The sequence below is a fragment of the Homo sapiens genome, chromosome 13 (genome assembly GCF_000001405.40).
Source record: "Homo sapiens chromosome 13, GRCh38.p14 Primary Assembly".
In the NCBI taxonomy this organism is placed as follows: Eukaryota; Metazoa; Chordata; class Mammalia; order Primates; family Hominidae; genus Homo; species Homo sapiens.
The window spans coordinates 35283494-35299488 of NC_000013.11; the positions used below are offsets into that span (position 1 = coordinate 35283494).

Sequence of the window (15995 nt, forward strand, 5' to 3'; positions counted from 1 at the left end):
ATTAAAATTAATAATATTAATTTCTTTATCAATCTTCGAAAATATCTCATGTAACACAGTACCACTGATTTCTGACTTTTGATAAGCCAGATGCATTTTACAATTCAAATATTTTGGATCAAAGAAAGGTAATAAGTGCATATATTTCATAGCATCTTTAGGAAAGGCTGGGAGAGCTCCCTAATAAAACACATTAACATGTCTACAGTAATACATAAGGATTTTCACAATAAATAGAATAACAAATTGTAAATAGCATCACATTATTCAGGGGAAATTTTGCTGATAATTGAATTTGTGATAATCTTACATGAAAGCTTTCAGTTTTCAGAGCTTTTTGGGTTTCAGAATTGTAAAGTATCATGGATGTACAGCTGAAATAATTGCCCCTGTGATTTTTAATATCTATAGATGTGTAAGTGTGTGTATGTATGCATATGTTTTTCTTTTTCCTTTTCTCTTACAGATATGTACTCATGCACATGTGTACACAGACACACACACACACACACACACACACACCACACAGATGCATGTACACACACATCTTGGGATGAGTAAATAGTTTCCTTGGAAGACAGCCAAACTCATTTGTTTATGTATTGTCTATGGCTACCTTTGTACCACATGCCAGAGTTCAGTGGTTGTGACAGAAACTTATAGCCACCAAAGTCAAAAATATTTACTATCAGGACCTTTACAGAAAAAGTTTGCTGCCCCCTAATATATCTGGTATATCCAGAAACTTACGTTTTGTTCCTATTTTAAAGACAGTAAGACTGCCATAAGTTTGTGATAACTCAGTTTTTAGTGAACTAAAGAAATCAATGAATGCATGAACTCTCACTGTCTTTACAGTATTTTGCAGGGTTTTTTTTGTTAAAATTTATAATCCAAACATGAATGTAAGCTGCATTGGCTTAATTATATTTAAATAAACTTTTTTAGTCAAAAAAATGAATTTTATTATAGTTTTAAGTTAATATTAGAGTTGATTCCATTTGTAATACAGTTTTAAAATAAAATACTTGAGAGAACACATAGGCAAACCTTAAAATGTCCAATTAACATAGTAACTAATCTACCTATATACATCTTAATATTAATTTTAGCAATGATAAAAATTTAAGCCATTATTGTTATTTCAAAGGATGTTTCATGTCTATTTTTGTTTGTTTTCTTGGTTTTGAATTAGAAAGCCACATGAATTGCTTGCTTTGCTGTTTTTTAGGGTTTAGATCTTAGTAAGTTCAGGTGACTTACATGGTAACATTGAAAGTAAATTTTACAGAGAGAAGCATATCACAGTGAGGGAATAGGAAGACAATTTCATGTTTCAGATTAAAAAAGTAAAAGAATAGTAGAAAATATCAGAAATTACTGTTGTGCAGATAGAGGTGTATAAGTATTACAGGAGTCTAAAAGACACTCATTATGGTAATACCCTGTGTCTTAGAATCCTTCACAATACCATGGGAGAAGTGTAGAGAACAGAATTTTGAAGAATACACCACTGAAACTAAGGCAAATGAAGCATATTGGACATGCAAAATTCCTTTCCACGTCTATAGTTATTCAACATTTGTTACTGAAATGAAAGTATTTCAGTGCCATTCAGCTCTACTAATTTGGGGATTTTTAAAAGTTAAGAATAGGCTGGACCTGGTGGCTCAAGCCTGTAATCCCAGCACTTTGGGAGGTCCAGGTGGATGGATTGCTTGAGCTCAGGAGTTCACATCAGCTTGGGAAAGTTGGCAAAACCCTGTCTCCACGAAAATTACAAAAATTATCCACTGTACTCCAGCCCAGGTGACAGAGCAAGATTTTGCTTCCAAAACAAACAAAAAGATTAAAAATCATTAGAAGATTAACTAAAAACTAGTTAGTCCTAGGCATATTTGATTTTTAAAATTCAGATTGTCAGTATAGTCATGTCTATTTGATAGAAAATAAATTGGTATCTTTTATTGTGAGGAGAAATATTGTCTATAATGAAACTGATCACTTTTCCTTCTGCAGATTTGCTTCTTAATTTGCTTTCCTTATCTCAGTTAAAGGTATCATCATCACACTCTGATGGTTCCTTTACCCTGTCCCAAATAGTTGTTAAAATAGTTGTCTAAAATAGTTTGTCTCATTACAGAATGCCTTGAGTCTGTCTCTCCTTGCATTGTCACCATCTTGAGCTCAAGCTTTCAGTCGTGTAACTAAACTCTTTAGTTACTAGCTTCTTCCTATACTGCTGACAGAAAGTGGTCTTTCCAAAATAGAGCTAATTCTGTCTGCGCCCTGCTTAAAATCCTGTAGTGGCTCCCTGGTGATGATAGGATAGTGTGCCATGTATGGCTCTGCTTCCTGCCTACCTCTCTGTCTTCATTTCCAGTCACTTCCTTTCATCCTTCACAGCCTACGACATAACATTCCAACTCCACTTTGCTGACGATTGCATGCTTCTTTATACCTCAGACATTTCTCTGTCACCTGGAATGACCTTCCTTTCTTTCTACTTTTTGCTTAGATAGGCTCAGCATTATCCAACTTAAATGTCACATTCCCCATAACTTCTTCTCCTAGACACAGTTGCTTACTACCCTTCCTGTGCTTCTCACACTGCATTCTCTATGAACCCCCTAAGATTCTCTATCATGATTATTTGCTTATATTATCTGCCCCACATCCCACTTAGTACCTGCCATGGTGTCAGGCACATTAGACAATATGTTTGGTAAATGTTTTTTGAATGAATTGGGATCTTATTCTAAAAAATGATGTTCTTATTTTTGCTCAAAATGTAATTTTTTCTCTACAGTTGATAGTGAATGATGATTTATAGATTTATTGATTCAATTAATATTTACTGATAATATATTCAAAGCAATCATAGATGTCTGTCAGAGTCTCCTCTCTTGGATCCTTACTTAAAGAAAACTTTGACATTTAAAAGATTAGTTCCATATAAGAGCATGATTTCTTGTCCCTAGAACATGTAATATTCTTCATCTCCCACCATGAGGAACATTCTGCTAGAGATGGAATTTTTCAACGGTATTTTAAAGCTTTAGGGCTCTTTTAACTTGATATTCAATTCAACAGATGTAAAAAGTTAGACCCGCAGATTGACTCAAAAGAGTCTGACAGTTCTTTATTAAAATAATATCATTGTACCTTTTAGTAGTGTTTGTATTAAATAAAGATAGCTTTGTCCCAAAGGCCAAGCTTCTAACTTTATACTCATTTTGGAGATTTCTTATCTGGTTTATCATTTGTGGCAGTTTTTTGTTTTGTTTTGTTTTGTTTTGTTTTATCTTGTTTTTTAGTGGGGAGGGAGTGTCATTCTGAAAATAGAAATTGACTTCCTACCCCTAGTCAGTGTGAACCCAAAAGAACTGCCAGTTTTTTTGGATAATGGTTTACTCAGCTATATCTGTTTTATTTACTGCCTGGATCTGGACCACCTCAAGTTTGTCCAGCTAATTAATCTTCTCAAGTACTTGTATCTTAGCCACTCAGTGAGCTGACTTCATCTTTCAACAATATAGTTCATAATATATTCAAAAGCACTTAATGGACGGTTTCCTTACTGTTAGAATATCTCCCAAATATACAAGCCTCCTTCCTCATAGGCCCCCACACATTTATTGTTTACATCCCAGGTGTTCATTTTATACTGCTAAGCTGTATGGCTTGCAGTACTGAATCAGTAATTCTGGTTAGAATATTTATTCCAGTGAACATATATATTTTCTGGTGAAAATATTCTATTACTTTGCCTGCACTCCTAACTATATTTTTGTTGGGGAGGCACATATGTACAGCTCCTTTGGGGGCTTCTTCTTAATTAACAAGGCACAGATTGTCATGATAGAATAGGAATGCTATAAACAGTCCTTAGTATCATTTCTCCCGTTTTATAACTTGCTTTAAATTATTCCTTTTGTCTTTCAAAACCATATAATTTTCCTTCAATCTTAATCTATCTTTGGTTTTCACCCTAGCCCTCCAGTCCACTTTTAAACACTCTTATAGTCTATTCATCCATCCCCCAAGCTATAAAGGTTTTTTTCAGATTTTCTCTTTGTTCTCTGCTTCCTGTGTACTTTTTGCTTAAGCTATTGCTTTTTGTCCCCTTGTCTGACCACAATAAGCTACTTTCACCAGGAAAACTGTCAAAATCATTCACCTTTGAATTGACCATTACAACCCTTCTCATAATCAAATATTGCCATCTTATTAATGCCAAACTATTCATGTAGCTCTGCAGCAAACAGAATGGGCTTTGAGTTAGATGACCTGAATTTGGGACCCAGTTCCACCACTGACTGAATGACACACCTTTGGCTAGCCACCAAGTCTCTTCAATTTTTATGTATCAAATGAGGTAGTAATAACTAGTTTAAACAGTTATTAAGAGATTCAAATGAGTCAGCATATATGTAAGTTATTTGTAAATTCTAAAGCTCTATATAAATTTTATGTAATCTTAATTTGAATTAAAATATGGGCACTTGGGAAGGTATAAATAATAACTTATTACTGTAAACTCCTTAGTACTAACATTATATTTTGCTCATAAGTGGAGATATCAAATGAGCTAATTTGATTATGAATTTTTTGCCACATACAAAAAGGATACACTCAAACTTTTTGAGACGTACACTTGTAAAATATTTGTCTCATGCATATACAGCTTAAGAGTTACTTATAGCATCAGTCAGTGGTTGTATTTTCATTATCTCTAGTAAAACATTGAGTTTACCTCTTTTTTTTAGTAATACTCCCAACCAAAGTGATTATGTAATTTTTGAAGATAGATAGGTCTTTCAAATTTGCCTCTGCTTGTGTTCTCAATGTCACGTTTAGTTCTTCTTTTGCTTTTGGGAGAATCCATTTATTCTTTCTGTCCAAAACTAATTAGACAAAACACATGAGTAAAGGTGTGAGGTTCTATGGACTTGAAATCACAATAGCCTTTTACAAAATACTGAGAGCACTGTTTGCAAATTGCAATTTTGTTATTGTGTCAATTTTTTGCCATTCCTTTTGAACAAAGCATTAATGAAGCATTTGTTTATATTTTTCTTATGATGGAATGATGGTATTTGTAAAAAACTATAAATGGTCTTGTTGCATAGGGTTTTTTATAAGTTCATTTTAAAAATTGGTTTCTGAGAAATTAATGCAATTTCATGTTTTTCCAATTTTACTTCAATTTATTATATATTTAAAAACTCATACACAAAATGTATGCGAATAATTCTTTATATCAAAGCCTTATTGTCTAAATTTACATGAGTTTAATTATGATCCTTTGGCCTTTTACTTGTTTTTTCTTTGTCAGAATTCAAATCTTTGAGTAGTCAACAGGTGATAAATGTCCCATTAATCTTTCTGACTCCCTAGAACCTGAGCATGAGAATTGCTGATCAGTTACACCAATTGTCTCGTAAATGAGCTTCTCACATCTGCCTCTTATTTCATTAGTTAACTGTCTGCCCAAATATCTGATAAGATGGAATACTAGTACCTTTTTACAGCTTGTTCTGTCGGTCTGTACAATAAGGAGATAGGGTCGTTAGCAAAATGGGCACAAAAGAGTATTTATCCACTACCTACAATAAATATGCATGCTAGTGTCTAGAAGGCATTTGAGACTGTTTATTGAAATCACCTCAAGAAACAAAAATAACTGGTTTCACTTCGATTTTCCATTTAGCAACAAATAATGTTAAGACCATGGCCTGCCTTACTGTATGATGCTTTTACTAATTACATTTATCATCAAAAGAAGAAAAATGATAGTATTTCTAAAAACTATGAATGTTCTTGTTACACAGAAGTTATTTTTGAAAGAGGAAAAATCTATTTATTAAATTAATTTTAAAAACAGTGAAAAACTTTAGAAAATATTTTTAAATTACCAAACATCATAATTAACGTACTCTCAACAGTGTTTTTAATACTTGATTACCTCATTCTCTATGTTGGCACTTCGAAAAACTACCAATTAAGATCTGCTTTCTTATATACATCGTTATACAGCAGTCATACTTTTAATTGGAAAAAATCTTGATAACTTCATCAATACATATAAGAATTAATGTTTAAACTGTTTATAGGAAATATACGTTCTTAACCTGTAGAATGGGAATAATAATACTATGTCACAGAGTATAATGATAATTAAATGAGACCATGCACGTAAGGCACTGTGCCAGTGTGTTAAATATTGCCCAGCACATGCTAAGTGATCAATGAGTAGTAGCCATTATTACATAGACATTATTGCAATCAGGTTTTTTTCTTCTGCTATCTATTTGGGGAGATTGGAGTATAACGGTGAAATATTTTATAAGCATTGCTTGATGTGTTAATCATACATTTTTTATTATTTTTAAAATTATTTAATAACTGATAAGCTATTGAAATTACCTATTTGTAAATTAATTTTGTCTTTTGGAACAAAATTTAGGCAGAACTTCAGTGATTATTGTTCTTTGCTCCAAGGAAACAACCATATAATAAATGTCATTGGCGTAATAGCAGCTATACCTAGCTCATCAATTTTAATAACCTTCCCCACCTTGTTTAAATGTAAGAAATGCCTCAACCAAATAAACAACCAAAGCATGAAGTCAGTTTTCGAGTATTTTCACATCATCTTGTGACAAACCCACAGCCAATATCATACTGAATGGGCAAAAACTGGAAGTGTATCTAAATAGTTTTAAATTATTGCTAAAAATGTATGCTAGGTGAACATTTTCATTCAGTTTACCTTAGGAATTCTATTTAAAAGAAAGTTTTTTTTATAAATTAAAATTATATAATGAATTAACTCAGAATGATAATTTCTGCCATTGTAATTTCATTTTGTTTTAACCTTTCTTTGTTGTAGGCCTTGTTTGTATGAAGTCCAGCACATCTGTGGTTGAGCTTGTTATGCTGCTTTGTTCTCAGGTACAAAATCCCATTCACTCAGTTACATTAATATATGAGGGTTTTTTGTGACTAATAATAAAAAGTATGTGCATATATATGTGTATGTTTATATATTTTTAAAATTTCCATCTATTATCCCATAGATGGAGAAAATAATTTATGTTGAGTTTTATTAGTATATAGATTATCTTACCATGTAAATATTGACTTATTCTCCCTCTCCCTTCTTCTACTCTTTTTAGCAGTATTATTCTCCTACCCTTTCGATTCTTCCATTGTTTCCTATCATATATATGTATATAAAATACGATATATAAAATATCTTAATTTATAATTTTTAAATGTATTATTAATTATCTTGTATCTTCTTCTCTTATATTTGAGATAATGAAAAGTAAGTTTTTAAATTCCATACCCAAAGTGTATGATACAGCTTATTAATGAATGGTCTTTGATATAAGACCTTGCTGCTTTCTCTTTTTTAAATGTAATTTGTATATGTCAGTGTAAATTCTAAAAATCTACTTGAGCTGTTTGTCTTTAATAATCAGAATCAAAGATAAATGATAATTGTTGGGTATTGTTTCTTCTTAACAATTACAGGGCAACCAAAAATAAATGTAAACATATTTTCTGATTACTTAAATAGGAACCTATTGGTTTTTCTTCTCACCAGCTCTGTCAAGTCTCCTAGCAGTCCTGATTATCCTGATTATCATATTAGTGTTAAATATTTTTTAATATCAGAAGGAAAAAAGAGCTTGTGTGTGTTTGTAATAAGCAGTTATTATCTTTATTCGTAGTTTCCTCAGTAGAAAGAAACATATATCTAAGCTATTCCTAATTACTGGCCTGAGGTTTGCCTAAAGCCACAGCTAACTCGCAGACAAACAACAATATGCTTTCAAGTGATCCTCTAAAACATCAGCAAAACTGAACAAAACAAATGAAAAACTTACCAATTGATTTCAGTTTTCAGGTTTATTTTCTTCAAGAATATATTCCTAGGAAAATCATTAGGCCCATTTTCCTCTTTATAGCCAGGAACAATATTGATAAGGAAGAGGTTAAAGAAAACAACATCCCTGTGAGGAGGTCGTCTGCAGGGCATTTGAAAATTTTGTCACCTACTGTTGAAGTCCTGAGTTCGAGAGACTATCTGGACCTTTTCGATTCATGATGATGCACAGTTCTGTAAAATGCGTTTATGGAAAAATAGCTTAGAATTCCTTCTTCCATAGCCCTGTGTTTCACTGCAGTTCAGAGAAATAAAGAGGAATGTAGCATTAAGATCTAGTGTCTTTGATGGCCTCATCATCTAATCATAGGTTTAACATTACTCATTTGCTGGCTCCAGGAATTCCTGCCATTAAGGGCCCTAGAGATGAAACTTTGCCTCAGATATTGATTGAAAGGAAGAGTGAGAAATTTAAGCTCTCTATGCAGTGCACTTTCTTTCAGTGTTTCAGCAAAGCAATGTTGTAAACACACCTCTCGATTTGATTTTTAAGTTGAATTTTTAAAATAATTCAGTGTTTTTAAATATTTTAAGTGTTTAATTGATTAAATGCACCTCATTTAAGTAACTTAAGAATATATGCTTATTCTTTAAAATAGCTCCCAATTGTTTTTGTTATTTTCTGTTTAACTGAAATAATGCTTTCGACTAAATATTTTTAATGAAACAAATAATCCTCCTTTATTCTTATTCAGGGGGGATAAGTTTACCATTTTACTGTGAAATTAAGCTTCTAGAACTATCTTTGTAGATCATTAATTGCTCCATGAATGTTTAAAATCATGTCTTTAGTTGTAAGGACACACATACCAAAAAATGGACATGTCTTCAACGTTTCTTAAAATAATGTGCCATTTTTCTATACTACTTAAATTTGAGATGATTTATATCCTATTTTCATCCATTAACAGGGCAACATAGCAGTAACATACCTCTGAAAAGAGAAATAAATACAGTTAATGATGCTGTGGAGATTGCTTGGCATAGCTCTCTCCAAAGCAGTGTTCTTCTACAGCCTTTAATGCATCTCTTGTAGAATGAAGCACAGTCCCTGTAGAATTAGTACAGTTCTGTAGGCCGTCTTTGTGCCAAGGCAGTAGGTAATCCTGATGAATCTTGAAAGCTGCAGAGTTCTGAGTTCTTTTTGTTTTGCTCTACAGACAGCCCTTTGTAAGTCTTGATAGCTCCATGTTACTGTCATGACCAGTATTAATACTAATAAAAATAGTTGAAAATCTGAATGAGTAACTTTAAGTTACTATCTTGATATACTATGTGTATATTTTTCCACAGTGAGAAATCCAACTAAGATATTATTCATATTGTAATTTAATGCTGGTTAGAATAAGTTGGAATTCTGCAAATGGAATTTTTAATGTATTTATTTGCATAAAATATGCTTTTCTTTTTCCAAATTTAGACAAGCCATTGAAAGATAAAAATTTTTTGAGAGACCGGGCAGATAAGTATTAAAAAGGGAAAAGAAAATGCAATATTGTGTTTTTTATAGGATTTTGTTTTTCTTTGCTACAACACATTAGATGGCTTTTATTTTTATGCTTCTCATTTTCATTTTGGAAATTTCCTGTTAGCAACTACATATTATTAAGGATATTAGCTTTTCTTTCTTATCTGAGCTCCTGAATAAACTTACTATTCCTAATAGTTTGTGCCCAAAATATGGTCTAAATTTACGTGAGATCATATTACAAGTGTCTGAAGGTACTTGTCAAGGATAATTCAGTTCATATGGGCAAACTTTTAAACTCCAAAGGCTATATCATCCAGTCTACCCCCCAATGTAATTTTTCATCTTTGTGGAAAACATATTTAAGTCTTAAGAAGAAGCTGTTAATATTATCATTCTGATATATTTATCATTCCACAAATACCCAAAACATTTTTGACTGTATTCTGGATTTTTTTCTGATATAGATCTTATGATACAAGTATATTTATTCTTCTTCACTTTTATTTTGTATTAAAGTTGTTAGTAGCATTTTAAAAATTGGTTTCATATCATTTTGAAGTGAAATGAACTAAAGTAAAAAAATTAATATCAAATCAGTGCTTAATTAGGGAGTACAAGGTTTTCTACAGATTCTTCAGTATATCACAGGTCTGATACTATCTTCTATCATAGCTTTTTAAAAAAGTTTTATAATTAGATATGATTGAAGTGCTTATTCTCTATTTGTGCTTATTGGTTTATTACATTATTTTTACTGTATTGTGCTCTTTGATGAATAGCAGATTTAGTTTTCAAGTAAACTTCTTTAGGTGCTATAATAGTTCCTAATTACTTCCAGATTTTTTAAGGAAGTCTCCATAAGATATACTCCAGGAAAAGTGGACTGATGTTATCCCATAGCATTTCTGTAAGTTTTTATAAGTAAAGCTTAGCAGATGGCACTTGCATTTTTCTGTGCCTTATCTGTCAATAGAAAACATTTTATAAATTGAGAAACTGTACATTTAAAAAATTCTTAGTATTTAAATGCTTTCTGACTGGAGGCAATGATTAAGCAAATGCATGCTTAGTAAGTCATTTCTACTCTTACTGAAAAGCTAAAGATGTATAAGTAATATAAAGTAAGAGGCCTGCAAGTCTTAGTTAGGCATCTGTGTATGAAGTCACTAACATGAATTATTTTGTGGTTTGTTTGAATTTACTTTTTTCTAAATACCTCATATACTTAAATAAAAAGAATTTTAGTGACTTCATTGATGTGATCAAAGCATTAACCCAGGACTTCTAAAGACAACACTTGTAAAAGAACCACAACTAAAGAACAATCTTTTTTTTTTTTAATGATTTGGCCTTTGAACATTTACGTTTTTCATTTTTCCTCCAGTGTGATACAGTTGAGTCAAATAGTACAAAAGAAAAAAATATACTTTTCTTCTGAGGCTGAGTTACAAAGACATAGGTAAGAGAACATAGAGGCCTATTAAAAAATATTCATTGTAAGTACTCAGTAGTGAAAGGATTTTTGGTGTGTATAGTAAGAAGATTTCAAATATAAGGAAACCAGGGATGGAGTAGATGTTTTTTCCCCGTTGTCTTTGGAAATATCATGAAATCCTAATTATCATGATGAAGTTATGTCACATTTAATTTGGTAGTTATTTAGTGACTACATTTTTTAAACATTTTAATGGTTACTAAAGACTTACACATTGTTCCATTTCTCATGTTTAGTGTTATCTATGAAACTTGCCAGTTTTGCTGCTGAATTTGAATTCAATTAAGAACAATAAAAAATTATGACCTGATACTTAAAACTGAATATAAATGAGCAGTTACCTTTGTATGGTTCAGTAAATGGGTCCTATGTACCAACAATAAGATTGTCATGGAAAAGTTTATTGAGGTGAACTAAAAATGAGCCCTGACGATGCAAGGTATCCTATTCAGCATAAGCAGCGGAGAATTGGGCTGAAGAAACAGCCTGAGCCCTGTTTCTTCAGAAACCTGAGGTCTGGAGAGGAATGAGTCTGTTCAACAGTGTCTAATCATTTGGCTTCCCTGGGCCACACTGGAAGAAGAATCATCTTGGGCCACACATAACATACACTAACACTAATGACAGCTGATGAACTAAAAAAAAAAAATTAAAAAAAATAGCAGAAATTAAGTGGCCAGGCAATGTATAATATTTATATTTAATATATAAATATAATATTTATAATATAAATAAATATAATATTTATTTGTTTATCTAGGGTATTATCCATTTCCAGGCAATGTGTAATCCAATACCTTCCTCAAGAGTATTTTTAATATAAAATATTGTAGTGTGTTAATAGTATAGAATTAAGGCTAGTAAGAAATGTCTAACTTTTAAACAGTATTGGATAGTTCATGATCATTGACTATAGATTCTGTTTTTAGAAGAGCCACTTTTTCATTTTCTAATATCTAAGAAATCCCTGCCTTTTTCTCTAGACGGTGGGTGACCCCACCTCTTATCTGTGATATAATGTCATTTCCAAGTTAAAGGGGTCAAATTTGGGCATTTAATTTTTTTGGAGTGTCTATGTTATATAATCTTTATTGCCATAAAAGTTTGTAATATGTCCTAAAGTATAAATAAAAGTTAAACAGGAAGGTGAAAATACAGTGAGGCATAAAGATTATAGTCACCTCAGATAACAATATTTAAAATTATTAGAGAATATGGAGAAAGTTATGTACTGAAAATGTAGACATTTTAAAGGAAAAAGAGTATCAGTAGAAAATAATTGGGAAATCTGTATTTAATATATCTTGGGGAGAATCAGTACAGAACAGATTGCAACAGGAAGACGGGCTCTCTGTTATATGTTCAATTACTTACAGCATTCCTGGATGAAAATTTAATCAAAGATTTAAAGAGCATATAATTCAAATTACTTTTGATTAGTTCTATGAGATATTTTATTGTTGAATTCTTTTTTTAAAACTCTTAGAGAAGTTAGCAGGTATAAGAAATTTTGAGTCAGTCTCTTTTATGTTATAAAATATTTTTTCTAAGCTACCTGTGATACATACAATACTCACACATCACATAACACTTATATATAACAACTTAGCACATATCCACCTCAAATTATAGAGGTAATAGTTTATGAATAAACAAAAAGTTCTGACCTCATCTGTTAGAAATTATAAACTAAGCCTGATCGCGGTGGCTCACGCCTGTAATCCCAGCACTTTGGGAGGCCAAGGCAGGTGGATCATGAGTTCGGGACCAGCCTGGCCAACATAGTGAAACCCGTCTCTACTAAAAATACAAAAATTAGCTGGGCATGGTGGTGGGCACCTGTAGTCCCAGCTACTCAGGTGACTGAGGCAGGAGAATCTCTTGATCCCGGGAGGTGGAGGTTGCATTTAGCTGAGATTGCACCACTGCACTCCAGCCTAGGCGACAGAGCGAGACTCAGTCTCAAAAAAAAAAAAAAAGATAAAAAAGAACAACAGTCTTTTTTTTCTTATGTCTAACTTCTCATAATTCTAATAAAATTGAGGGAAAAAAGAAATCAATAACCCTAGGCCATCTGCAGGATCATTTTTAAGAGTGTTTAATGTCTGTGACAGAAGAGAAGGAATGTAGAATATTCTGAATCCCTGAATCCCTGACACTAAGCCCACCTCCCTGACCTAAAATTTCTTTCCATACTTTGTCTCAAAATTCACATTTCCCTTTCTCCCAGTATTTTGGTTTATTTTTCTTTAATCTTTATTTTCCTGTGTCTACATTGTATAAGTTTTTCAGACAAATTACAACAACTTTGAAAAATAGTGAAAACTATATATATATATATTTCACACTTTTACTTCTAGTATACATTCTCTTTTTTGGTGGTAAATTTTCTTCATTTTTGTCACACATATTTCAATATGCTTTATTTTTATTAGCTATCATATAATAAGTAGTTTTCTGTATCCTCTTTTTTGTTACATTGTACATTTCCTCATGATCATTTTTTCTGTGGTTTCGTTGTTTAAATAATTAGAGACTCACAGGAAGTTGCAAAAATAGTACACAGAGTCCCATGTACCCTTCCCTCAGCTTCCTCCAATAGTAACATCTTACATATAACTGTAGTAGAGTATAAAAACCAGGAAATTGATATTAATGTAGTACTGCCAACTAGATGATAGACATTATTCAGCATTCTCTCTTTTTTACATGTGTTCATTTGTATGTATATGTAACTCAATACAATTTTATTCCAAGTATTAATGAAACCAACATGGTTGTTCCTGTACCTCATATCTTCCCAATTATTTCAAACTCTTTTATTTCACGAAGCCTTTCTGTATTATTATTGTTATAAGGTTCTAATCTCTCCATCATTCCCTTAGCATCTGAGTGCATAAATCTAGATGATAAATATAGGTATCTGTTTATATGTTTTAATTGGATGCTCTTATATGTGATTAAGGTATGATTTTCTTTATCTACCACATTTCAGGTTCCATTAGAATAAGCTGCATTTCTAGTATTTCCTTTCTTTTTGAAGAATTCTATTCTGCCAATGGAGAAAATAAGTATTGTATAGTCTCAATATATTAACATTTATGAAGAGCATTTAAAATCATACATTGTTTATTTACAACAATCCAGAAGAAAAGACTACTTAAGGATGACACAGAACTTTGCAGTTTCGTGAAGTCACTTTATGGATGTTATTCATTTCAATTATGCTACAAATTTACACCATACTAAAGATCACTTTATTTTTCTATTGCCTTCTGTTGTGCTTACCACTATGTCTTCCACTCCTAGTATAAATATCCAGCATATAGTATAGGTAGTTATTAATGACATTTTGAGTTATTTTATAAATAAAAAGGAATATATATTAGCTAAGGTGATTTGTTATTTATTTTTATTGTGATAAAATACATAAAATGTAAAATGTGCCATTTTTACCATTTTAAGTATACAGTTCAGTGGCATTAATTAAATTCACAATGTTATGTAACCATCAACACTACAATGAGAAGGTTAGGGAGGCCAGTCCCCCTACACAGTCAAAAATATGCATATAACTTTTTACTCCCCCAAAACTTAACTACTAATAGCTCAGTACTAGTGACCAGAGCCTTACCAATAACATAAGCCATCAGTTAACACGTTTTCTATGTTATATGTATTATGCATTCTAATCTTACAGTAAAATAAGCTAGAGAAAAGAAAATGTTATTAAAAATATATATAGATACATAGCCAGTGTGTGTGTGTGTATGTGTGTGTGTGTGTGTGTGTGTGTATATATATATATATATATATATATATATATATATATGTATATGCTTCTTTTTTTAATTTTAATGTAGTCCAAAAGTACAAGAAGCTGTTTCAGAGGTCAAGAATATAGTAGGTCTTCAAACAAATGGCAGCTAATTATGTGTCAGAGATTCTTGTACTTAGTTAAAAATGATGATCTCTAAATTTCTCTACAGCACTAATGTTCTTATACTGGCTTCCACAACTATTGCTGCATGATCATTTGTGAATAAAATATGAAATATTTAATATAACTTAGTACCTATTTCTAAATCTTAAACTACACATTTGAATGTGAGAAACTTTTTAACAACTCAAACCTAATAAACATGAGTGTTGTATATACTCATAGAATATGCTCTCTTTAAAAATATCTTGTAAAACAGTCTAGACTTTTTTATTACAAACACAAATACAAATACATACACTCATTTTATAATAATAAGATGTGTCCAATTTGAAACATAATTTAGTGATCACCTAAAGTCCTGGAAGCCTGCTTATGTTTATATGATACGCCAACTTTTCCTTGAGTAACCAACTAAATATATTTCAGTATTTCCTAATTTTTTTTATGGTTGACTATTATATCGGTAATCTTCTCTTTGAATTGATCATTCATTATTCATTTCTTACATTCAGTTTTTCCTATAATACTTTTAGTAAGATCTTCATAAAAATAAGAAATGAAAATGAAATAAATGGTACTTTAAATACTTCACATATATATTTTCAGTAATTATGTATGTTTTATATGCATTGAAAAAAATTCTCGTCTCTATTTTCACCCTACAGAGTGTTTTTTTCACTTCACTCCTTATACTTACTGACTTCAACTTACAGCACAGAATTTCTAAACATGCCAGTTATAATGAACATTCACTTTGAAAATTTTAAGAAACACACCTATGTATTTTAGTGACAGATAATGATAAATAGATATTAAAGATATCAGAAATATAAAATCAATTCTGGAATTCTTGAAGACTTAAGATATCAATTTACTCTACCATTTTTCCTTGTAATTTTTTTATATATTCAAAACTTTTATGATGGATTGAATCTCTAAGGACGGTTTATTTAATTGTATACAAAGAAGAGGGAATGAAAAATGTACATTGAGTTGACATAGATGGGGAGAAACTGATGGGAAGCATTATATTTTGGATCTGAGATTTCTTCGACTAGTCCATCTAACTACCATAAAGCGATTGTGAAGAGAACATAGGGATTTTATCGTCATCCTTCTGGAACTTATT

At 31.4% G+C, this 15995-nt stretch overlaps 1 protein-coding gene across 13 annotated transcripts in view, besides 1 other annotated feature; it reads left to right on the top strand.

Moving 5' to 3' along the window:
• The window catches only part of NBEA (neurobeachin), a 730467-nt gene that overhangs the window by 341224 nt on the left and 373248 nt on the right, over positions 1–15995 (top strand). For all 13 annotated transcript variants that reach the window (XM_047430271.1, NM_001385012.1, XM_006719803.4 and 10 more), the window contains one exon: positions 6896–6957. In XM_047430271.1, coding sequence (XP_047286227.1) covers positions 6896–6957 — 62 coding nt within the window. The remainder of the gene's footprint in view (positions 1–6895; positions 6958–15995) is intronic.
• Positions 399–693: a silencer, noted in NCBI's record as "tiled region #11126; HepG2 Repressive DNase matched - State 9:DNaseU, and K562 Repressive non-DNase unmatched - State 24:Quies". NCBI's record gives its function as "represses a minimal TATA promoter and a strong SV40 promoter by Sharpr-MPRA in HepG2 and K562 cells {active_cell/tissue: HepG2 | K562}" and the evidence as "EXISTENCE:reporter gene assay evidence [ECO:0000049][PMID:27701403]".